The sequence below is a fragment of the Homo sapiens genome, chromosome 6 (genome assembly GCF_000001405.40).
Source record: "Homo sapiens chromosome 6, GRCh38.p14 Primary Assembly".
Classification (NCBI taxonomy): Eukaryota; Metazoa; Chordata; class Mammalia; order Primates; family Hominidae; genus Homo; species Homo sapiens.
The window spans coordinates 157,456,053-157,481,136 of NC_000006.12; the positions used below are offsets into that span (position 1 = coordinate 157,456,053).

The 25,084-nt window shown below is 42.9% G+C and overlaps 1 protein-coding gene across 3 annotated transcripts in view, besides 4 other annotated features; it reads left to right on the top strand.

Annotated features, from left to right (window-relative positions):
• Positions 1 to 25,084, top strand: part of ZDHHC14 (zDHHC palmitoyltransferase 14) — a 296,968-nt gene that overhangs the window by 74,863 nt on the left and 197,021 nt on the right. The gene's annotated exons all lie outside the window — the stretch shown is intronic.
• Positions 5,600 to 5,659: an enhancer, noted in NCBI's record as "active region_25332". NCBI's record gives its function as "activates an Ori minimal core promoter by ATAC-STARR-seq in GM12878 lymphoblastoid cells {active_cell/tissue: GM12878}" and the evidence as "EXISTENCE:reporter gene assay evidence [ECO:0000049][PMID:35858748]".
• Positions 8,294 to 8,794: an enhancer, noted in NCBI's record as "H3K4me1 hESC enhancer chr6:157885378-157885878 (GRCh37/hg19 assembly coordinates)". NCBI's record gives its function as "activates a minimal SCP1, AML or CMV promoter by ChIP-STARR-seq in primed H9 embryonic stem cells {active_cell/tissue: H9 hESC(primed)}" and the evidence as "EXISTENCE:reporter gene assay evidence [ECO:0000049][PMID:30033119]".
• Positions 8,795 to 9,295: an enhancer, noted in NCBI's record as "H3K4me1 hESC enhancer chr6:157885879-157886379 (GRCh37/hg19 assembly coordinates)". NCBI's record gives its function as "activates a minimal SCP1, AML or CMV promoter by ChIP-STARR-seq in primed H9 embryonic stem cells {active_cell/tissue: H9 hESC(primed)}" and the evidence as "EXISTENCE:reporter gene assay evidence [ECO:0000049][PMID:30033119]".
• Positions 10,130 to 10,917: an enhancer, noted in NCBI's record as "H3K27ac-H3K4me1 hESC enhancer chr6:157887214-157888001 (GRCh37/hg19 assembly coordinates)". NCBI's record gives its function as "activates a minimal SCP1, AML or CMV promoter by ChIP-STARR-seq in naive H9 embryonic stem cells {active_cell/tissue: H9 hESC(naive)}" and the evidence as "EXISTENCE:reporter gene assay evidence [ECO:0000049][PMID:30033119]".

Below are 25,084 nucleotides of genomic sequence, written 5' to 3' on the forward strand. Positions count from 1 at the left end.
ATCGGAGTTCATTTATGTTTGCAGATTGCGCCCTCCGTTATGAAAACACATCCTTTCCTTCTACTCCCGGAGGAGGCCTGCTGCGGGAGGGAAGCTCTTCCTGACCTCTGCCTCCCCGAGGAGGCTGCCACGGCGCGTGGCCCTAGATTCTGACAGAGGTACTGGGCTTGGGTTTGAGCAAAAGCAAAGACAGTTCCAGTGATGTGTCCTGTTAGCCCTTCGATTTTAGCATTTTCGGTTGATTGGCCTGAAAACAGGTGCTGCTCAGGCAGCTCGTGATCCACTTGGCCCTCTCCTCGTTCATCCTGGGGCTGCCAAAGCAATGGGTAGAGAATCAAGGCCTGGCCTAGAGTCCAGGCTCTCCCTAGTCATAAGTGTGGGATGTTGCCTCCCCCATGGAGCCAGGGTTTTTGCAAAGTGGGAAGGACAGTAGCTACCTAAAACGGCACTCAGCGCTGTTAGGGACCTGACGTGACATTATTTATTCGAGAACACCCTTAAAACTGTCAAGAATTGAGTAAGACAAAGCACCACCATGTTTCTCCCTGGCAGTACGAGCTGCTTCAGAGAGCAGGTGTGGGCAGAGAGAGGAAGTGAGCCTTATCAGCCTGATCTTTCAGTCAGGTTTTTACATTTTTTTAAAAAGAAGTTTGGAAATTTACCAAGGGAGGAGGAGATTGAAGAAGAATTTTACAATTATTTGGAGAATTCAGTGAACCGTTCTGTTTCTGTCCACCTCTTTTTGAAATTACTGAGAAGTAACGTTTTCATTAGTAATCGCATTACATGTGCTGGTACAAAGACTGAGTTGTGGGCCGGGCGTGGTGGCTCATGCCTGTAATCCCAGCCCCTTCGGAAGGCCAAGGCGGGTGGATCACCTGATGTCAGGAGTTCGAGAGCAGCCTGGCCAACATGGTGAAACTCTGTCTCTACTAAAAATACAATAATAAATAAATAAATAAATAAATAAATATTAGCCAGGTGTGGTGCATGCGCCTATAGTTCCAGCTACTTGGGAGGCTGAGGCAGGAGAATCGCTTGAACTCGGGAGGTGGAGATTGCAGTGAGCCGAGATTGCACCATTGCACTCCAGCCTGGGTGACAAGAGTGAAACTCCATCTAAAAAAAAAAAAAAAAAAAGACCGAGTTGGGATGGGCACTTTTTTGGCGCCAGAGTGGGCCACAGACTGAGATTCTGTGGTTGAGGTGTTTATCAGGGCTTCCAGCGTGGGCTCTGGGAACTTCATTTGTTTGGCCACAGCAAATAGAAATGGAGCCCAGGAGTGGGAATGCTAGCTGGTATTGTAAAATCTGTTTTGTGATCATTTGGGAATGCCATTCCCTGGAACTGGAGTATGAAACTGGAAATTTGCTCTAAGAATTCTGGAGAACTATCCTATCATGTTTTAAAACGGACAATAAAGCCTGTACTGTTCTTACTTTCTGCCTTTGTCAGCAAGTAGGAGTACACAAAAATGAAGTAAAGATGTTACAATATTCACTGGAATATTTATCAATCATTTAAGTATTATACCACTGCTTTTTTCATAATCCTGAAATGATGGAAATGTGATTTTACTGTGAACTATTAGTCAGTGATATTCATGTCCAAAATTATGCCTGGGACCAAATTGCCCTTGGCATCGGGGGTCTCTTTGGGGTCTGACATGTAGATCCTGTATAGATTCTGTGTTCCTGGTTTTACTGTTTCTGAGTGGGTCTCATCCACTGGCCACTGCCTGGCCTCTACCACTTGCGCCCTCAACCAAATGCAGCATTGAGAGACGGTCCCCTGACCACTGAGCCTCAACTGCCATGCTGAGGTTTTACAGCTGGGGGGCTGGGTTGTGTCTGCCCCAGGGCCAAGGAGGAGCAAATTTGGACAAATTAAAAACCAATGCCAAGATAACCAACTCATAAAAGGCTCGTGAGCATATCTGCTTAGACTGGCTTTGCAGGAAAGATAAATAAATAGCAGACTACCTGCCCCCCACTTTCCATCCCATACTCTCAGGCGGATATGCCTCCTCTTTCTGCACTCGGTATGTGTAGAATCTGGTTATTGACATTTATTTATGTTTATGCCTAGAGGAGTGTTTTTGCGGAAGCAGGGTAGGTAGAAGAAGGGAGGATTATTCGGGGTAATTTTATGTGATTGCTAACAAACATCTTTTTCCTCTTCATAGTTCCCATGGTGATTTTTTTCATTCGGTGTAGCATTGATCTTGTGGGCTTTAATTAGACCCTAATAGTCCCCAAGAGCAGAGAGTGTTGCAGTTCGTTAGTATCTGTTTTTATTTAATGTTTGTGGATGGGCGGACAACATGAAATGGTAGAAAATCTATTCTGTTGGTATCTGTTACATTGCTTGATATAATCACAGGAATATAAGAGTAGCATGAAAGGAAAAAATTAATAATAAATAATTTTGCTTTTTTCCCTCTTGAAAATGTCAATTCAAAAAATTCTTTTGGGATTATCTAGTTAAAATGTTGGTTTTAAAGAAATCGCAAAAGAGGATAGACCACAGGAGTTCTCAGTGTCGGGGGCTTGGCCTGGGGCAGGTGGGGGCTGTGGGGCTCCTGCAAGGGATCAAGGACCTGGCATGGTCTGCAAACAATGAGTGGCGCATCTTGTGTAGATGTGAGTGCTAGTGCCTTCTCCAAGTGCATATAGATCCTGTTGTGACTAATCAAACATAAACTCAATTAAAAGCATCACTCAATTTACGATATAACTATGTATTTCCTCAATAACCAAAAGATGTAAAATACAGGTACTAGCAAATGTGGGTGGATTTTTTTTTTTTTTTTTTTTTTGAGACGGAGTTTCGCTCTTGTTGCCCATGCTGGAGTGCAGTGGCATTATCTCGGCTCACTGCAAACTCCATCTCCCAGGTTCAAGCTATTCTCCTGCCTCAGCCTCCCAAGTAGATTACAGGCATGCACCACCATGCCTGGGTAATTTTGTATTTTTATTTTTAGTAGAGACAGGGTTTCTCCATGTTGGTCAGGCTGGTCTCAAGATAGTTTCTATACATATATCCATGCAATGGCCAGGAACCACCGTTCTTAACTGTTTACCAGAGTAGTGTTGATCTGTATTACATCGTAGATAAATGCAGAATAAAGGTATTTCTCCAGCAGTGTTGATGAAAGAACATTCTGGAAAACAAATTGTTGACGTTCATCATAATGTAGAAGGTGTAGCTCCTGCTGTTCTGCCTAGATGACAGAGCTCCAAGTGACCATTTGATGATGGCAGCAAGACTTAGAAACAAAATAAGAGATCCCCTTCTTCACCAGCTGTTAATGTTTTCCATAGGGTGAGGAGGGAGGCAAACGTCTTGTTTCTGTGGTGGTGGCTGGAAGTTTGGAGACTTTGTTGGAGGGACAGTATGAGTCACAGAAGAACAAGACACCTTGTATTGTGTGACAGTGGAGTGTGAACAAGCTTTGCACACGTGTGGGCGGCCCTCGCTGGTGAATGCTGCCTGTAAACTGATAAGGGAAGAGTTGGGGTTTCCAGGGAGCTTGGAGCAGAGGTAGCTAGAGAGAGCCTCAGGGTGGGAGCCTCTAGAATGGGTAAGCTCAGTGAGCCTGGCAGGTGGTGGGGTGGCCTGTGCGCCCCAAGTGGGGTGCAGGGGTAGATGGGGGGACAGCTAATGAGCAAGGTGTCCACTTCATTCCTCTGGGTTGATCAGTCAACATCAAACTGTGATGTCCTTTAAAAAGTCATCTGGCCAGGCATGGTGGCTCACACCTGTAATCCCAGCACTGTAGGATGCCAAGACAGGAGGATCACTTGAGGCCAGGAGTTTGAGACCAGCCTGGGCAACATAGCAAAAGCTCTGTCCCTGCTAAAAATTGAAAAATTAGGCCGGGCGTGGTGTCTCATGCCTGTAATCCCAGCACTTTGGGAGGCTGAGGTAGGAGGATCACTTGAGGTCAGGAGTTCGAGACCAACCTGGCCAACATAGTGAAACCCTGTCTCTACTAAAAATACAAAAAAAAAAAAAAAAAAATAGCCAGGTCTAGCTACTTGGGGGGCTGAGGCAGGAGAATCGCCTGAACCCGGGAGGCAGAAGTTGCAGTGAGCCGAGATTGCGCCACTGCACTCCAGCCTGGGCAACAGAGTGAGACTCCATCTTAAAACAAAAACAAAAACAAAAAACAAAACAAAACAAAATGTAAAAAATTAGCCAAGCATGGCGGTGTGCACCTGTACTCCCAGCTACTTGGGAGGCTGAGGTGGGAGGATTGCTTGAGCCCATGAAGTTGAGACTGCAGTGAGCTATGATCACACCACTGCACTCCAGCCTGGGCAACAGAGCCAGACTCACTCTCTCTCTGGAAAAAAAAAAAAAAAAAAAAAAAAAAAAAAGAGTCATTCCTATGTTGTGCATATCTTTCTGTGTCTGCTTCTCCAAAGAGTGCTGTTGATACCCACATAGGTATTCTTGAATTCCTATGACAAGGAGTTCTGAAGAAGCTCGCTGCCTGAGTAATAAAACAATAGACTCTCCATGTAGGAAAGGAATCATTTAGATGACCTCAAATCCAATTTCCCATATGCCATGCAGGAATTCTTCTGTAGGAAAGCTTCTCAGAAGTCTGGAATGTGTGTCATTTTAATCAAGAGTTGCAGTTCTTAGTTGTACCCTTAAGTTATATGGAGGCAGAAATAATGTGACTAACACTGGGCCCCGTGTGGAAACATCCCCCGTTTGCTTATGGCTGGGGATGGGTTAGAGACAGCAGGCGAGGAGGGTTTCCCTGAAGATGCAGGGGTGCAGGCCGATGTGGGCCTTCTTACACGGTCCTAGGCCCAGTTGTGTTTCTCCCTGCTAGCACGGGTTGGCAACAGGAGACACCCAGATCATCCCTTTATCTATTTTTTCCTGTATAGGACAATGCATAAAGCATGCATGTGCTCGAGAAGGCTTCCTTTTCCTGACTGGCAGCCACAGCAATTGGCATAGCAAGCAGCAAAGTAAGGCCTGGTTAAAATGCACATGCAATTCATAGCGGGGCCTCTGATGTCATTGCTGTGGACTTTTGTTTTTAGAACCTGAAAAACACACGTCCTCCAGGGGCCTGGGAAATTCCCAGGTGGCCACCACCGTAAACAGTATCTCATTGAGTTTGACTAAACTGTGGCAGGAGTTCACGCTTCTAACCACCACTGATACAAGGTGAGAAGGGGTCGGCATGGGGAAAGATGCCTTTGAAAGGCCATCTGTGGGCAAAGTCTCGTGCCCCTCTGTGAATGCATTTGATGTAAATTTTTGTTCCTCTTGGTTGAATAAATATTGTTACTAAAAATAGCTTTAAAAGGACATCAGGATACAGCTGGAGCAAGACAAAGGAAGCAGGGCAGATTGCTGTGGGTTTTGGAACTTTGCTTTCCTGAACGCATTGTACGTGTACAGTCCGTTACGGCCCAGCCCCATCACTCATGTCATTCCCAGAGGCAAAGGCATTTGGATTAGTGAAATGCAGCCTCCCTAGTCCTGCCCCTGAGTTCCTAGTTATCTCTGTAACAGCAGCTACACCTTGGGTTAGGGTCTTGAAGTTAGCAGCCTCCGCCCCACCCTGATAGACAGACATATTCTCCTTCTAGATAGGAAATAAAAAGCAGAGGATGCCTGTTGGAGAACAGAGCTGGGCAGCAGAGGGTGGGCAGGTGGCAATGTGGTGATACCCTCTCCACCCTGTGGGGGACGCCAGTTCCTGCACTTCCCATCCAGCCGCTGGGTGCACTGCCACAGTCACGGCTTGCAGAATGAAGGATTTATTAGTCATGGAAACTGGCCTCGGAGCACCGTGCCCCCACTAGAGGCACAGCGGTTCTGGGTCTTGAGATCCTCATACACTAAAGGTCTGCCACAAATTTAGGATCATCTTCATGCTTTGTAAAAAAATTTTTTAAACCCCTGTTGGGTCAGATCCTGGTCTATCATGCGACGGTGGCACCAGAGGGGGCTCTGCAGGGGGCATCAGACAACCTCATTTCCCTTAATACAACTCACTATAGATCTGTGAGTTCACATAGTTTCTGAGCTTATTTATAGTTTCAGCCTCTTCAGTGTCCTCTGTGTTGTCATGAATTTTCCACCATCGTGTAAAGTTAGCTCTTTTTCTTACTTACCCTGAATCTGCCTCCTTCAGTTCAAAGTGGTCTCCTTAGCTCTGGGGTTTCAGAGTTGACGGACATGCCTGTTCACCCTTTCTATTCTTTTCCAGTATATTTTCTAGTGAGATTCACTGTAGGTTTCCACAAGATGAACACTAACTGGAGCGATGAGTGCCTTGTGGATCCTTCAAGGATTTCAACAGCAAAGTTACCTCGAGCCATAAGCCTGCATTATGTTCTGACTTATAAGAAAAGCGATTTTTCTTTCTCTTTGTTGTCATGGGGCTGTCTTCCACCACATTAGGCAAAAAAAGTAGTGCAGTGCCTTGTTTTCAGAGCTTCTGCTGACAAATGAAGATTCCGAGGACTTTTGGGTTAGGCAAAGAAATGTGGTATTCTCTGGCTTCAGAGGATCTCTTTGAGAACCTCTTTGGAGGAGAATGCCTATCCCTGCTTTGCATTATAACTCTTAGAAACAAAAATTATTGTGTTTATAAATCTTCCCTTAGCTGTCTGCTCCTTAAATCGGCTCCTCACAAAGTGGGAAAAGAATCCAGGGTTCTCTGTTTGAAGTGCCCAGCCCAGTGCCCCCCAGCCCTGGAGGGCCTGGCGGGGGCCTCTTCCTGCCCTTCACTGCCTTTTTTCATGGCTGTCTCTGCAGACTCAGCTGAAGTTACCCATTAAGGGGGCTGGATGTTGTGTCGAACAGTACAGTGGTGGTTAATGCTGTTTAATTGTTTAACTGTGACCCTCACAGAATTACCAAGAATAAAATACTGCTGTTTCATTACCAATAAAATTTCCTAAAAGTGCATAAAGATAATTGTAGCTAGGAGTCAGTCTCTTTTCCAGAAAGATTCTTATGTCGGCTGAGTTCAAGTAGGTAGGTGCATGTTATATAGAAAGTTTATTACACGAGTTGTTGGCTATTCAGACATGCACGTGAGGCAGCTGGAAATGAGATCCTTCCATGGGAAATGCTTAGTTTGGAAAATGAAGACCTGAGAACATAAGAAAATAGAAATGTCACAGCCTGTTGTTTCTGTTGTCTCTTCGGTGTTTGGAACATGGCATAGAACAATTGAAATTGGTTTTTCAATAGAAACAATTGAATAGTCCAGATTCATTATTTTTTCCCCTCTTGCTATAAATGAAGATTTATGCAAAATAATCACATTCTCTTTTCCTGCCTATTCTAATGAGCTATTATTATTATTTTAAGACCTCCAGAGGTCTTAAAAGCACCCCAAAATGTGTAGCCCTGCCCCTATACATTTGTATATCCATAGCAGTGCTGTGCTCTCTATCACCCCCAACTCTTCACCAGAGGGGTTGACAGTGACTGAGCCTACAGGAAGAATCATCAGAAAGGAATGTAAGACAGCAGCTCCATCCAGTATTCCCACCTGAAGAAGGTCTTGCCAGGTTAAGATGGCTATTGTGGATAATATACTCTTAGATATAAAATAATTCTCAAGCTAAGCAGATGGTGCTGGCACTTCGTCCCAATGTCTCCCCGCTTTACCTTTCATTAGTCAGATCTGAAAATTAACACCAGCCGGCACAGTGGTTCACATCTGTAATCCCAGCACTTTGGGTGGCTGAGGCAGGCGGATGACCTGAGGTCAGGAGTTCGAGACCAGCCTGGCCAATGTGGTGAAACCCCATCTCTACAAAAAATACAAAAATTAGCCAGGCATTGTGGCTCATGCCTGCAGTCCCAGCTACTCAGGAGGCTGAGGCATGAGAATCACTTGAGTCCAGGAGGTGGAGGTTGCAGTGAGCTGAGATTGCATCACGGCACTCCAGCCTGGGTGACAGAGCAAGATTCTGTCTCAAAAAATAAAATAAAATAAAATAAATTAACACTAATGATGAAACTTTTAAAAGTTGTAGTAAGCAAAGGTAAAAACATAAGCTGTAATAGAAGTTCAGTCCATGTTTAAGTATTTAATCGTGACAACTACATGTATATGTTGAAAATCCTTCTTTAACCTTAGAGTTCTGAAGTTTCTAGAGGTTGGATGGAATTGCTTCCTGCTCTTGAGAAGACTACAACCTGAAATATTCCGTTTGCATGTATATTTTAATACACATACTTTGATAACCTTGTTCTTAAATATATATGCTGAATAGTATCTTTCATCTTAGGACTTTGAAATAATTCATTTATTTGCCTTTTCTCCTCTGACTAAAAAGAGTTATAGTTCATAGTTTCCTCATTCATTCAGACCAGGACTTATTAAATTAGATAATTCCTGATTAGATATTCTATTTCTTAGCTGTGTACATAGTAGGTATTCAGTAAATATTATTGACTTATTTAATGGTTACTTGTGCTCTTCAAATTACACCTGTATATTATGAAGTAGATTTTAGGGTGAATGTATGGGAAGCTATCATTGGTCCAGATTAACTGCTTTTCCCTCTTGTAAATGAATCTATGAAAATTAATCACTTTCTCTTTTCCTGCCTATTCTAATGATCTATTATTGTCTTTAAGCCACCCCAAAACTTAGTGACCCGAAGCAAATTTTGTTCTACTATCTCCTGGTTCTGTGGGTTGACTTGGTTCAGCTGGGCGTTGTCTGGTTAGGCCATTTCATGCAGCTTCTGCCTGATCCTGGCTGCCAGGGCCGTCCGCCCTTGGCTGCCTCCCTCACAAATCTCTCTCGTACGTAGCTGTGACCAGAGCAGCTCAGGGCGGGCCAGCTGTGGCTTCGTCGCAGCAGGGTGGTCTTGGGTAACCAGCCTCTAGGGCCAGTGTTCCAAGAAACCAAGACCAAAGCTGAGCCAGCCTTGAAAGACCCAGGCTTGTGCTTCTGTCACATGCAAGTTCTGGGAGCAGCAAAGAATTTGCAGCCATCTAACCTACCCTGTGACATTCTAAAAAGCAGCGTGTTTTTTTCTCTTTCTCCTTTTTTTTTTTTTTTTTTTTTTTACATTTTAATGGTTGTTTATTGGGTTGAACCAATGAAAAAAAAAGATTTAATTTTCTTTTTAGAAAAACACAAACATGTTCAGTTCTCCTGTTGTGCCATTACATTTTAGATTGTGTTAGTTTCAGATTATACTTAACTTGTCATAAACCAAGTAGAGTACATTTAGGTGCCTACTCTGAAACTAAAAACATCTTAATTTTGTGGTTCTGACTCACTGTTATTTATGAGAGCTTTTCTGAGAATTGTCTCCTTGAGATCAGATCCCTTGGGGGACAGAAAGTCCCTACTGAGTGTGGTAAAAATGCCCAAGCCCATTAAAACAATGGCCACCCCCATAACAATGCATTCTCCCCAGGAACCACACAAAACGGGAAATGAAATAAAATGGATGACTTAGAGTCTTCTTTCCTAGGGAGTCTGGATTGAACCATGGCATCTGGATAGTTAATGCCGTTCTATTTAGCAAGAGATGCTAAAAAAAAAAAAGAAATCTTCAAGGTCAGTCTTCTGTGTAGTGCCATGAGGCTCTCGTTAAAATGTCACGTACCAGGAGATTCTACCCCTGAGGGCAGGTTGGCCTCTGTGCCTTGGTCACTCTCCAGAGGTCTGAACTTGGTAGAGAGAGGTGGGGGCTGGGCGCGATAGCTTATGCCTGTAATCTCAGCACTTTGGGAGGCTGAGGCAGGTGGATCACCTGAGTCCAGGAGTTCAGGATCAGCCTGGCCCACACGGCGAAACCCCGTCCCTACTAAAAATACAAAAATTAGCCGGGCATGGTGGCGGGTGCCTGTAATCCCAGCTACTCGGGAGGCGGAGACACGAAAATCACTTGAACCCGGGAGGCGGAGCTTGCAGTGAGTCGAGATGGTGCCGCTGCACTCCAGCCTGGGCGACAGAGTGAGATTCTGTCTCAAAGAAAAAAAAAAGAGAGAGAGAGATATGGGAAGATAGGCATCTCGCAGGCGGGCCCCACAGCCTGAGAATTTCTTCTACCTTGGCCTGATCCTCAGCTGCCTCTCTGAGCGCACTCATGCTTCTCTAGGGAGGACTGGAGAGGGCCCCTGTGGCTTGCTGTGATGCTGGCTTACCTCTCCCTGGGTAAGTGCAGCTGCCAGCAATGCTGGTTCCCATGGCAATGCAGGGCCCCAAGTGCCATGCAGCAAGGACAGCTCGGTGCGTGCTGTACAGGGCCATCTGCTCCACAGTAGCACCCTCCCATTGACAGGATCACAGCCCATACCTGCGTCCCTGGCCATTGTGGATTCCCAGGGTTTAGGACTGTGCTTGGCACACAGGAGGCACTCAGGAATATTTGTTGACTCAGCAGTAAATGCAGAAATCAAATATGTGTTATTTAAAAAATTGAATTAGTTGTAAAAACCAAAATAAGACAATTTCAACTAAAATTAAATTCTTTTGTTTTTTTGGCCAGGCATGGTGGCTCACGCCTGTGATCCCAGCACTTTGGGTGACCAAGGTGGGCGGATCACCTGAGGCCAGGAGTTCGACACTAGCCTGGCCAGCATGGTGAAACGCCGTCTCTACTAAAAATACAAAAATTAGCTGGGTGTGGTGGCAGGCACCTGTAATTCCAGCTACGTGGGAGGCTGAGGCAGGAGAATCAGTTGAACCCAGGAGATGAAAGCTCGTGAGCCGAGATCACACCACTGCACTACAGTCTGGGCGACAGAGTGAGACTCTTTCTCAAAAAACAAAAAACAAAAAAAATTATTATTTTTTTCTTGAAAAAAATGTTAAAAAAAAAAGTAAAACCTGGCAATACTGGGCCTGAGAGGTCTGGTGGGAACTGCGCAGTAGCTGCCCTCACATGGCGAGGCTCATTCTCCAGGTGACTGAAGGCTCCTACCCTTGTCTATGCCTTTCCACCCAGCCTACTTCTCCTGTTTGAGTTTGCAAACCCCATAAGGCATGTTCCCATCTCTAATTTGGAAACACCATCCGAGTTTTTAAATTTATTTTGAAGGAGGTCATAAAATTCTCGCATTGCAAGATTTTTTTACAGCACCTTTATTGAGATGTAACTCACATGCCGTGAGATTTGCCCTTTTAAGGTACACAATTCAGTGGCTTTTAGTATACTCAGAGTTGTACAACTATCACTCTTCTCTAGTTTTAGAACCTTTTCATTGCCCTAAAAAGAAACCCATACCCACCAACAGTTGCTCCCCCTGTCCTACCCCACCACCCCTGCCTGGCCTAGGCAACCACTAATCTATTTTCTGTCTCTATAGATTTGTCTATTCTGGACGTTTCAGATAAATGGAGTCATGTATTATGTGGCCTTTTGTGCCTGGCTTCTCTCACTCAGCATAGTGTGTTCAGGGTTTATCCATGTTGTAGTATCTATGAGTTCTTCATTCCTCATTTTATTTATTTATTTATTTATTTATTTATTTATTTATTTATTTATTTATTTTGAGATGGAGCCTCACTCTATTGCCTAGGCTGGAGTACAGTGACATGATCTTGGCTCACTGCAACCTCCATCTCCCGGGTTCAAGCGATTCTCCTGCCTCAGACTCGCAAGTAGCTGGAATTACAGGCGCCTGCCAACACGTCTGGCTAATTTTTGTGTTTTTAGTAGAGATGGTGTTTCACCATTTTGGCCAGGCTGATCTGGAAATCCTGACCTCAGGTAATCCGCCCATCCCGGCCTCCCAAAGTGCTGGGATTACAGGTGTGATTCATCCCTCATTATGGCGGTATAATATTCTGTTGTATGAGTAGACCGCATCATATTTATACATATATCGGTCGATGGATATTTGAGTTGGTTCCACTTTGGGGTTCCTATGAATACTTCCTGGAAGACTTTAAATCCTATTAAATAATTGTGTGTGTTATGTAGCACTTTAGGCATAAGAGAAAAAGCATCACATCAGAAAAACAAGGATAGGTTGTCAACATTCCAAAAAGTTTGGAAAAATCACTACTATAAGAAGAAAACTATAACCTAACAACTCCTGAGTTAGAGCAAAGGGCAGCACCAGGGAAAGAACCTGAGTGGAGGGCTGGAGAGGGGAAGACAGGGCAGGCAGCAAGCTTCACTGGAGGGAGCCTCAGGCAAAGTTTGGCTTCCATCAGCCCCTCTGACCTAATTCGTCTAGGAAATCATCAATGTCCAGTGTGCACTAAAGTGAATCTGGCTCTGAACGCGGAGGTAGCAGGGATGGTGACAGCACTGCACATTCTCAAAAGCCCATTCCTTGTGATATTTTACATCCTTCTGTTGTTAAAGGGCTTCCAGTATAGAGGACATGCTTACACAGCACAAGCCTTCCCCTTAATTGCTGGGTCCTGCTGAAGATACAGTGCCTGTCCAGTTAGAAAGAAGGTTCTTCTCAAGGATTGCAAACATGTGGCATTTATATGAGTACTACAGCAAACAGCTGTCTCTTGATAGCAAGAAGCTCCCCTTAACACTGTGATCCCAAAAGACAAAGTATGTTTTCAGAATGATTGTCCAAGTTTATGATAAAGCAGATAGAAGGAGGCCCTGCTCTTTTGTGAAGTCGTCTTGCTTTCATTGGAGGAGTAATGCTGATTTCCTGTTTTATGGAGAAGATAAGCCTAGGAAGACACTTGCTTTATAACAACAGCAGTAGGAGTAATTTATTGAGGACCTACTGTGTGCCAAGCACATTCTTACTGTTAATTAGTCCAGCATCCTACAAAGTAGATATTTTGATTCTCATTTAATGGGTGAAAAATTTGACGCTCAGACGTGGCGCAGGATTTAAGATCATTTAACTGGTGAATGGCAGAGCTTGCATCTGAGCCCTGGACAAAGGCTATAAAACCCAGGTCTCTATTCCCCTAGGGCCATCTTCCCAGGAGATGATATTTCTGGGAGGGAAGAGGTCTTAATGTGAATGACAGAATCTCATCTCTCTGGGACAAGATGGCCAAAGGCAAAATTGTTGGCTAGGTGAATCTGGCAGCAGAATCTAGCCTACTGCAGCTGGGACAGCAGGCAGCTGCCCACATGTCCAGCATGGTACTCTGAACTCCAAGGGGCTGTCCTCACTCTGGCAAGAACTCAGGGCCCTAAACATTTCTTCATCCTATCCCCAAACACAGCTCACCAAATTGTTGCCCTCTCTTATATGGAGTTGATGAGCCTGTGTCTGTAAAGGTGTGAATGACTAGGGTTGTACACTGTGTTACCCTCCATAGTCCTTCACCCAAATGAATGTCCTTCCTAGTAGGTATTTCAGGCAGACTTTTGGGGCAGTTGTGCCCTAGGTACTCCTCAAATCACTTTATGAAGGAAGCTGCCTATATGTAGGGGAATCTTACGCAATAATCATTTTGGAAGTTGAAAGACGTCAGGCAGGATGGGCCAGATTATGCTGTGGTTACAAACAACTCCAAAATCTTAGTGACTCCTGACAACAGAAGTTTATTTCTTGCTCAATCTCTGTGGCTGTTGCAGGTCAGCCTGGGATTCTGCCCTGCAGCTCCTCACTCTGGGCCCCAGGCTGATGGAACGATCATGTCAAATGTTGAGGTCATCGTGGCAGAGGGAGAGAGTCCTGGAGGATACTGCACCTGCAATTAGGTGCTCTGATCTGGAAGTGACTCACCTTACCGCCATTCACAGCTCAGTATGGCACTACCCAATCACAGGGGCCAGAAGCGAAGTCCACCAGGTGCCCGGAAGTGGAGCAGAGCCGGAAAGATTTGGCAAACTGCTCTCATGTCCATCACAAGTCTCTTGAAGTGTCCCTCCCTGCCCTCTGTCACTTCTTCCCTCTCTCTTACTGTGGATTACCACAGGGAGGGCTTCAGGCCAGAAGGACCCAGGCCCACCACTCACTGGCTGCGGATGTGTGGGTACGTTACCTCTACAAAATGGAGACTAACACTTACTTGAAAGTGTGTTGTTGTGAGGATTCCATGAGCCTGGCACAGCAGTGTCCAGTAAATGATAAGCTATCAGGTACTCTCTGATGAAAAATTATGTTCTCTCATAGCCAAAAAAGTCCAGTGTTTCACTTTCTTTTGATCCTATTTTCCTTAGACAAACCAAGGTTTGGAATTCTATTCTAAGAGAAGGAAATAAGTGTTAAAATGCTACTACTTATATATTTGAAAGACCAGAAGGAACCAAAATTAAATGTCCAAAAACAGGAGAATAATTAAGGAAATTGATCTCGAACTCCTGACCTCAGGTGATCCACTCACCCCAGCCTCCCAAAATGCTGGGATTATAGGCGTGAGCCACCGCTCCTGAGATTAAGTAAACTGACCTAATGACTTCATGAAATGTTATGCAGCTATAAAAATAATAAGGAAGATTATGTATCAACATGTAAAATGCCCATGATAGTATATGGATTGAAAAAGTGTCAAAAAGCTAAAGGTATCCATTGACCACAAGTATGTTAAAATAAACACAGGTGACAAAAGACTGGATTTGAAAATATGAAAAATGGCAGTTGTATCAGAGTTGTTAAATTATGAATGTTCTGCAATGTTATTTATATAGTTTTAAACACTGTTATTTTACAGATAGAAAAACTTCAGAAAAATATCCTAAATGCATTTATTGGCACTCTCAGAAACTATTAAGAAAATTTAAAAATAGATACATTAATATCATGGTAGGCTAATACTACATAGATTGTCTCCAGCTCATGAACCCAGTGGAAGAAACTGGGCAAGAGATAAGTTTAAGTGTTTTAGAAAGCAGAACTAATAGAACATGGTCTTTGGCCAGTAAAGTCTATACACACACATGTTATGGTGGCTTCCACGTGTGAGCAGGCCTGGTGAAGCTGGGAAAGGAGTAGAGGGCCCTTCAGACCTGGCCTGGAGAGCTGGTGGAGCAACCGGTCAGTCGTCTTCGGTAGTTAGTGGTGGGTTACCAGGTCAGTCTCTCCCAGGGACCTGAGGACCCGGGTTATGAGAAACATGGCTTTTCATTCCTGGCATTTTCAGGTCTCTTCCAGCCCCTGACACAGAGGTCCATGGTCTTCAGATTCTCCCAGAACCTAATTTAAAGCTCAGATACTCGTATCCCCACCCCCAGGACTTTGATTTGATGGGACTGGCGCGGGGTCCAGGAATCTGCACTGTGATGCTCTCCCCGCAGAGTGCGCTTTGCGCCTGGCAGGAGGGGCTCAAAGATGTGTCTGTCAAGTGAACGAACTAACAGGACTCATGAGGGACTCAGCTTTGACTACGGTGGGCAGGCCTGCAGCGTTCACATTTTCCCGATGATTTCTGTGTGGGCTGGACTCCCCCGCCCGCCGACACCAGACACACCTGCTGCCCCCTCCCCATCCAGAACCCCCGAGGAAAGGAAATTTGCACTGCACAGCGGGTCTTCACAGGGCAATTCCAGCATCTGTGCAAAGCGGTTTCGCGTCGGTTAATGCTGCCTTCGATGAGAAGGAAGACGTTATCACAGGAGGGAGCTAGCTCAAATTAAAGAGTTCGAGGGCCCGAAATAGCTGGGAAAATGGCTGCCTTTGTAAGAAAACCAAACCTACTTTGCTGAGCGGACTGGTTATAAAACATCCAGGGAGAGAAGACGGTCTTGGAAGCCGGACAAGAGGGAATGAAACAAAAGTTAGATCGTGTCAGCCTTTGAAATGCCCCTCAGAGGCAGCGTGGCCGATGTTTTCTGGCGAGATACAGGGAGCTGGTCTTCATTCCCTCCTCTATGAAGTGGGGGTTCCAATGCTCCCTCCCTCGGGGCCCCTTCCCTCGGAGTTCCTCTTAAGGATCAAATGAAATGCTTTAAATTGCTCAGGACAGTGCCTGGCACCGGGTGAAACTTGGGCGTTTTCACCATTACTTTCTGATTAGCATGCACGTGGCCAATAGTGCGCACCCACATAAAGGCAGGGCGGGTGTCCACCTGCGCCTAGGAAGAGCAGTCCTGGCACCCCCTCTCCCCACCCAGCTTGCTCCACCACCAACCAAGGGAGCCTCTGGGGTGAGCTGAGGAAGGGTCGGGGTGCTCAGGCCTGTCTCCCGTCAGGATGTCCTGCAGCCTCAGCAGTCTCCGTGGGCCTCTCAGTCGTGGTGGCTATTAGGGGCTGACTGTGGCTGCGGGATCCAGCTACAGGGTAAAAACGGGTTTCCCCAGGGTGGGTGACCCATCAGCCCAGGAGGAGACCTGGGGCCTTGAAACCAACCCCCTTCTACCTGGGCATGTAGAGCCGTGCACTCGCTGGATAGACATTTATCTCCATGTGGAGGACTGGGATGGTCCCTCCACAGGGAGATAAATGTTTATCCAGCAGGTGCACGTGTCTCCAGGACCAAGTGCTGAGATTCTGGTTTCGACTTCAGACTATGCTGCTTGACCTAGTAAATAATAAGTGGAGTGGAGTGGAGTGGAGTGGAGGCTTGCTTCTGGGAGCGGGCTGAGAAAACACAATTATGCACTCCTGTTCAGCCAGAATCCACACTTACCATGTGACTCTCCTGAAAATCAACCTATAAATGATTTTCTCCTTTCCTTATTCTTGCCCCTTTGCTACAAGATGCTACTTTTTGTATGAAAGGTGATTGAAAGCACATGCTCTAGAAGCAGTGACTCCACAAACTTACTACAGAAAAATGAAGAAGGGCCTAATGGGAGAGGCACTTCTGTGGTCCTTACATGTGGATACAAAGGGCAGCTTTGCTCTTAGGAACTTAGGAAATTTTCCAGCATTTATTGAGCGAGGTGCAGACAAAACCAGTGCCAACTGTATCCCTGATAGTGTTGATGGGAGGTGCTGTGTACCAGTGCTGTGATGGACTGTGCCATATTGTGTTGCTTCCTGAATAAAATTAATATTTTGCAGGCACTATGCTTTGAAAAGCAAAGATAACAAGATAACTGGTGCTTTCAAAAATCTGTGATTCATTTTAAGAGTAGTAGTCACATTTTAATGAACAAAACTGTGTATATGTATGGTATACAACATGGTATGTGATATATGTATGCACTGTGGAATGATGAAATCAGACTATTTAACACATATATTAGCTCACATACTTATCATTTTTGGGGAGTGGGAACACTTACAATCTACTCTTTAAGCGATTTTTAAGAATACAGTATATTGTTATTAACTCTAGTCGTCATGATGTACAATAGAGCTGTTGAATCTGTTCCTCCTGTTTGACTGGAATTTTGTGTCCTTTGACCAACATTTCCCCAGACTCCCTCCCTGACAATCCTTGGTAACCACCATTCTCCTCTCTTCTTCGATAAGTTTCACTTTTTAAGATCCCACATATAAGTGAGATTATGCAGTATTTGTCTTTCTGTGCCTGGTTTATTTCACTTAACGTAATGTCCTCCAGATTCACCTGTGTCGTTGCAAATAATGGGATTTTCTACTTTTTTTAAGGCTGAATAGTACAGATTGACTATCTCTTATCCAAAATGCACGGGACTAGAAGTATTTTCGATTTGGGAGTTTTTTCAGATTTTGGAATACTTACATTATTCTTACTGGTTGAGCATTCCTAATCCAAAAACCCCAAATCCAAAATGCTCCCAAATCCAAAACATTTTGAGTGCCAACATGACACCAAAAATGGAAAATTTCACACGTAACCTCATGTGACAGGTCATGGTCAAAACACAGTCAAAACTTTCCTTTGTGCACAAAATTGTTTAAAATATTGTGTAAAATTACTTTCAGGCTACATGTGTAAGGTGTGTATGAAACATAAATGAATTTCATGTTTAGACTTGTGTTCCATCTCCAAGATGCCTCATTATCTATATGCAAATATCCCCAAATCTTAAAAAAAAAAAGTTTGAAGTGCTAATGGTCACAAGCATTTCGGATAAGGGAAATTCAACCTATACCATATTTTCTTTTCTTTTTTTTTTTTTTTTTTGAGACGGAGTCTCGCTCTATCGCCCAAGCTGGAGTGCAATGGTGCCATCTAGACTCACTGCAGCCTCCACCTCCCGGGTTCAAGCAATTCTCCTGCTTCAGCCTCCCGAGTGGCTGGGACTACAGGCACCCACCACCATGCCCAGCTAATTTTTTTGTATTTTTAGTAGAGAAGGGGTTTCACCATGTTGGTCAGGCTGGTCTCGAATGCCTGACCTCAGGTGATCCACCTGCCTCAGGCTCCCAAAGTCCTGCGACTACAGGTGTGGTCCACTGTGCTCAGCCCCACATTTTCTTTATTCATTCATTTGTTAATAGACACTTAGGTTGTTTTATATCTTGGCTATTGTGATAATACTGCAATGAATATGGGAGTGCACATGTCTCTTTGACATACTGAGTTCCTTTCCTTTGAGTATATACCCAGAAGATGCATTGCTGGATCATATGGTAGTTCCATTTTTAGTTTTTTGAGGAATCTTCATACTGTTTTTTATAATAGCTGTACTCATTTACATTCTCACCAACAGTGTGCAAGGATTCCCATTTCTTCACATCCTTGCCAACACTTATCTTTTGTCTTATTGATAACAGTCATTCTAACAAGTGTGAGGTGATATCTCATTGTGGTTTTAATTTGCATTTCCTTGATGATTAGAGATATGCAACATTCCTTCATATACCTGCTGGCCATTCATATGTCTTCATTTGAGAAATGTCTATTCTCATTTTTTAATTGGGTTATTTGTTTTCTTAGTATTGAATTGTTTGAGTTCCTTATGTATTTTGAATATTAACCCCTTATTAGGTTTGTGGCTTGCAAATATATTCTCCCATTCTGTAGGTTGTCTCTTCACTCTATTGATTGTTTCTTTTGCTGTGCAGAGCTTTTCAGTTTGATGTAACCCCATCTGTCTATTTTGCTTCTGTCTCCTGTGCTTTTGGGGTCACATCCAAAAAATTATTTTCCAGATCATTATCATGGAGCTTTTACCCTTGTTTTCTTCTTCAGATCTTACATTTAACTTTTAATCCATTCTAAGTTGATTTTTGTATATGGCATAGATGAGAGTCTAATTTCATTCATGTGTATGTACATATCCAGTTTTCCTAGCATAATTTATTGAAGAGATTATCCTTTTTCCTTTGCGTGTTTTAGGAAACTTGTTGAAAATTAATTGAAAATGTGTGTGTTTGTTTCTGGGCTCTCTGTTCCATTGGCCAATATGTCTGTTTTTATGCCAGTACCATACTGTTTTGATTACTATTGTTTTCTAGTAGATTTTGAAAGCAGGTAATGTGATGCCTCCATCTTTTTTTGCTCAATATTACTTTGGCTATTTGGGATCTTTTGTGGTTCCATATGGATCTTAGGATTTTTTTTTCTGTGAAAAATATCATTGTAATTTTGATAGGGATTGCGTTGAATCTGTAGATCACTTTAGGCAATATGGACATTTTAACAATATTAATTCTTTCAATCCATGAACATGGGATATTTTTACATTTATTCATGTCTTCAATTTCTTTCATCAGTGTTTTATAGTTTTCAGCATACAGACCCTTCACCTCTTTGGTTAAATTTATTCCTAAGTATTTTAGTATTTTTTGGTAACTCTTGTGAATGAGATAGTTTTCTTGATTTATTTTTCAGGTGGTTCACTGCTAGTATATAGAAACAACACTGATTGTTAGTATATAGAAATAACACTGTTGATTTTGTATGCTGTAACATTACTGAATTTGTTTATTAGTTTTAACAGATTTTTGGTGGAGGAATTGCAGAAAAATTCACAAAGATGTGAAAATTAAACAACATGCCCTTAGACAACCAATTTCTTCTTTGATGAGTGGGTCAAAAAGAAATTAAAAGGGAAATTTTAAAAATATCTTGAGACAAATGAAAATGGAAGTACATCATATCAAAACTTATGGGATGCAGCAAAACAAGTCCTAAGAGGGAAGTTTATAGCAACAAATACTTGCATCAAAAAAGAGGAAAGATCCCAAATAAACAACTTAACATTAACCTCAAGGAACTAGAAAAAAAGAGAACAAACTGAGCCCAAAGTTAATAGAAGGAAAGAAATAATAGAGATCACAGCAATATGAAATAAAGACTAGTAAACAATAGAAAAGATAAATGAAGCTGAGTTGGTTTTTTGAAAAGATAAAATTAACCTTTAGATAGACTAAAAACGAAAAAAGACTCAAATCAGAAATGAAAGAGGAGACTTACATCTGATACGATTAAAAATACAAAGGATCATAAGGGACTACCATGAGCAATTGGATAAACTAGAAGATATGGGTCAATTCCTAGACACATACAACCTATCAAGACAATCATGAAGACTTAGAAAACCTGAACAAACCAATAATGAGTAAAAACATTGAATCAGTATTAAAAAGTCTGCCATCAAAGAAAAGCCCGGAACTTGATAGCTTCACTGCTGAATTCTACCTAACATTTAAAGACAACCCAATACTAATCCTTCTAAAACTCTTCCAAACAACTGAAGAGGAAGGAATACTTCCAAACTCATTTTATGAGGCCAGCATGTCCTGAGAGCAAAGCCAGACAAAGCCCCTACAAGAAAAGAAAATTACAGACCAATATTCTTGATGAACATAGATGCAAAAATTATCAACAAAATATTAGCAAACTGAATTTAACAACACATCAAAAGGATCATTCACCATGATCAAGTGGGATTTATCCCTGGGATCCAAGGATGGTTCAACATATGCAAGTCAATAAATATAATACACCACATTAACAGAATAAAGGACAAAAATCATCATCGCAATAGATGTAGAAGAGGTATTTGACAAACCTCAACATCCTTTCATGATAAAAACTCTCAACAAATTAGGTGTAGAAGGAATGTACCTCAACACAGTAAAGGTCATATATAACAAACCCACACTGACATCATACTCAGTGGAGAAAGGTTGAAAGCTTTTCCTCTAATATCAGGAACAAGACAAAGATGCCCACTCTCAGCCACTTCTTTTCAACATAGTACTGGAAGTCCTAGCCAAAATAACTAGGTGAGAGAGAGAAATAACAGGCATCCAAATAGGAAAATAAGGCTGGGCGCAGTGACTCATGCCTTAATCCCAGCACTTTGGTAGGCTGAGGGGGGTGGTCACCTGAGGTCAGGAGTTCGAGGCCAGCCTGACCAACATGGTGAAACCCCGTCTCTACTAAAAATACAAAAATTAGCTGGGCGTGGTGGTGTGCACCTGTAATCGCAGCTACTCGAGAGGCAGAGGCAGGAGAATTGCTTGAACCCAGGAGGCAGAGGTTGCAGTGAGCCGAGACCGTGCCACTGCACTCCAGGCTGGGTGACAGAGTGAGACTCTGTCTCAAACAAAAAGCAAAACAAAACACAAATAGGAAAATAAGTTGTTGTTTGTGCAGACATTATCTTAAATATAGATAACCCTCAAGATTTCACCAAAAAACTGTTAACACTTTTGATTTTTGAATATATTCCATAAATCCATAAATGTAGAAATGTCCTAAAACCATCTATGTTTTGTTTTTCTTGGCCTATATTGGCAAAATTTATTTTATTTTTTTGATACATTTATTTCTTTTCTTTTAAACTCACCCTTATAAAAAAAACTCATTTGGCTAAACAGTCCTTATTAAGCAGACACTGACAAAGATGGGTTACAATAATTATTTGAAATTTTTCTCTGTTCCAGACCTGTGGTATATGGAACCATAGCATAGCTCTGCACCATACAGCCACAATATTTATTTATATTTAGAAAGTTGTAACAGTCTTTTGCCTCTAGGATCTTTGTCAGTTATTTATGGTACTGGAACAGGAACGTAGAAAGGTTTTTCCCACTTTTCCACTAGTATATTTGAGTTTTGTCATACTGTTGTATGAACGACGTTAACTTTCTTTTGACATAGGTAAGTAAAATAGCTAACAATTTTATGTTATGTTTTGGTGGTGTGAGTTTTTATTCTAGTAGACTTTAATTAAATACCCTTTGTCATTCAGTTAATATATCTGTCTATTTAAATTAGTTTGTCTTTAAAATAGAGCTACTAGGTAATTAGGTTCAGTGCCACATCCTGGATTAATAAGAAGTTTCTAATTTAAGACCACGTCATTGGCAAACTTTGCATTAAACATGTGTTCAGGAATGTTCAATACATTAAGTCTTCAGTACTCTCTACTTTGAAGCAATCATGATTTTAAAAAATTGAACAATGATAGAGTTTTTATTATGTATTATTTGATAAAACCTTTGTAAGTTAGGAAGCATAGTACTAAAATGAGCAGTCACAAATCCTCCAAGTCTCAGAACTAGAATTTTACCAACACTGTTGTGTTTCTCTTAGAACAATCTCACAATCTTACTCTCTTACCTTTTCCCAAAGTTAACCACAATGCTAATTTTATAATTTATTTTTTTAAATGGCAATTCCAGGTTCAGATTTAAGACTTCTGTTTTCACATTCTATTTTCTTTACTTCTAATCATTTTGCTGAAAGTGACCTTCCATGGAGTAAATGACTGGATTGGCTTTCACTAGCCTTGTCCACACACAAGAGAGTCAAAGAATGGTACCTTTACGATTTCTAGAGGGGTTCCAAGAAGGAATGAAGGAAACTGTTAGTTCATATTGTTGTCTAAACTCTGCTGTTTTCCTGTTGTTTCTGTATTACTGGCTCCAAATATCAGCCTCTAGAAAGTTCATCTTTATATCCCTAACACTTAGAATAGTGCCTGGGACACAGTAAATGTTCAGCCAGTGTCCATTATATTTAATAAATGTCATAGAAAAAATTAGATGGAAGATTGTTTCCATACCATTTCATTTAAGATGTTTGACCATGTGAAGTGAAACAGTGAAGAGAGTGTGTATGTTAAACCATGAATTACATGAAGCCTCTAGCAGGTGCACCAGATCCATGATCTGGGTTGGTTCCCATGCCAACCCAGTGACACCCAGGAAAGGTCCGCGGGGAGACATAATGTCAGCCAACTGTGTTGGGCTGGAGATCTCTCCTCCCTGTAATCCTCACTATCACCCACCTGTCAGAAAGCCAGCATGGCATTGTGATTAGGAGCATGGACTCTGGAGTCCACCTTCCTGGATTTAGGTCCCACCTCAGCCACTAACCAGCTGTGTGACCTTGGGCAAGTTACATACCCACTCTGTGCCCCCAGTTATGGGAAATGGGGATATAGTACTTACCTCATAGGAGTGTTTTGAGGATTAAATGAACACAGATATATAAATGTCTTAGAACTGTGATTGGCACATCCTAAGTGCAGTGTAACAGTTTGCTTTTATTTTATGTGTCTTAAGGTTTTTTTTACTGTGTTCATATTTTCAGTTGGATATCACCACCTTTGGGATATTGATTTCTGACAATCGGTTTCCAACAGGGGGAGTGGAAGGTCCTTCTTCTCAGGCAGCCCCTGGTATGGCTCTCAGGCCCTGGAAATGCCCTCCTGCTGGCATTTGCCTTGTGCCCCTGCCCTTTCTGAAGTGCCCTTGCAGGCTTTTCCACAGGAACAGCCCTCAGTTTAAATACCTCGTTAGCCATCGCTTTTGCCAAAAGCTTCTGAGCTCACAGGAGGTTGGCTCTACTTCTCAAAGGTGTAAACAGAAGTGGCATGGAGGTGTTTACCTTTAAGCCTGATCAAGTCGTTATCAGGACAAATATGCCAAGGGAAAGAATTCACTCGATATGTATGAAGTAGAGTTGTGCAAAAACAAAGCTGTGCACTGGGCCTGCCCAAGTGGACACTTCCCTGGTCCCCTCCTGGCCCAGAGAGAGCTGGAAGGCTGGTGGTGGTTTGATGATTGAGCCATTTCTGTGGTTTCAATGTGAATCTGATCAGACAAGCCTTCCCACCTCCATGAGTGAAAGTAGACAGCCCTTGCTGGGTTAGACTCTCCTCACACAAAGAGGAAAAAGGGGAAGCTGCCAGGATCCTCGAGGGGGTAGGGGAGCTTGGTTTGCAGGCACATTGGGAGGGCCAACTGGACAACAGTGGCCCACCTATGTCACAGGTTGCTGTTAAGAGCAAGTGAACTGTTTGATAGGTGGTGGACATGTTGGGCTCAGCGTTGGACCAAGAGAGGACACTGGGAGAGGTCCCTGGGGAAGGGGAGTGTTTCATCACTGACATTTCTTCCTTTCATCTGTCCTTGGCGATGCTAGATAACAAATAGACTTTGGGTCAGGTTTTTTTTGTTGTTGTTGTTTTGGGTTTTTTTTTTTTTGCTTTTTTTTTTTTTTTCAGAGGCTTGCTCTGTCACCCAGGCTGGAGTGTTATGGCGTGACCTTGGCTCACTGCAACCTCTGCCACCCGAGTTCAAGCGATTCTCCTGCCTCAGTCTCCCAAGTAGCTGGGACCACAGGCATGCACCACCATGCCCAGCTAATTTTTGTATTTTTAGTAGAGACAGGGTTCACCATGTTGGCCAGGCTGGTCTTGAACTCCTGACCTCAAGTGATCCACCCACCTCAGCCTTCCTAAGTGTTAGGATTACAGGCGTGAGTCACTGTGCCCGGCCTAGGCCAGGCTTTTGATGGATTTAAATTCCTTCCAGCTGGTGAACTCGCTTATGGCCTGCACCCAGTAGACGGCTCCCACTTTGCTACCCATGGCATGCTCTGGATTGGATCAGATGATCATGGTTTTAAGAAAAGCCCAATCTGAGGGTACAGTTGTATCACCATGATGGACATTGGTTCTTCTAAGAGTATAACTATTACTTCTTGATGCTCCTGATTCTGGGTTATGTGCTCAGAGAATGTTTGAACGGGCATCCTCAGCTTTTAGGAGATAAAATAGATTTTCATATTGCAACAAAAGGGGTATAAATATTATATTTTCCTTATTCTCCAATCTTGAAAATAAAATTTTGATAGTTTTAAAAAAATGTGTTTTGCATTGTTCATTGATATCAGTTGTTTTGTTACAAGAGCTAGAGAATCACCAAGTTGTCTAAGTAAGCTGAAACAGATTGTTGAAAAACCCTGACACTGTGCTATTCAACCGAAACCATTATTTTCTATTTTAGCCTGGAGCTAACCCAAATCATCTATAACATTATCTCTAGCTCTGAAATTTTATATGTGCT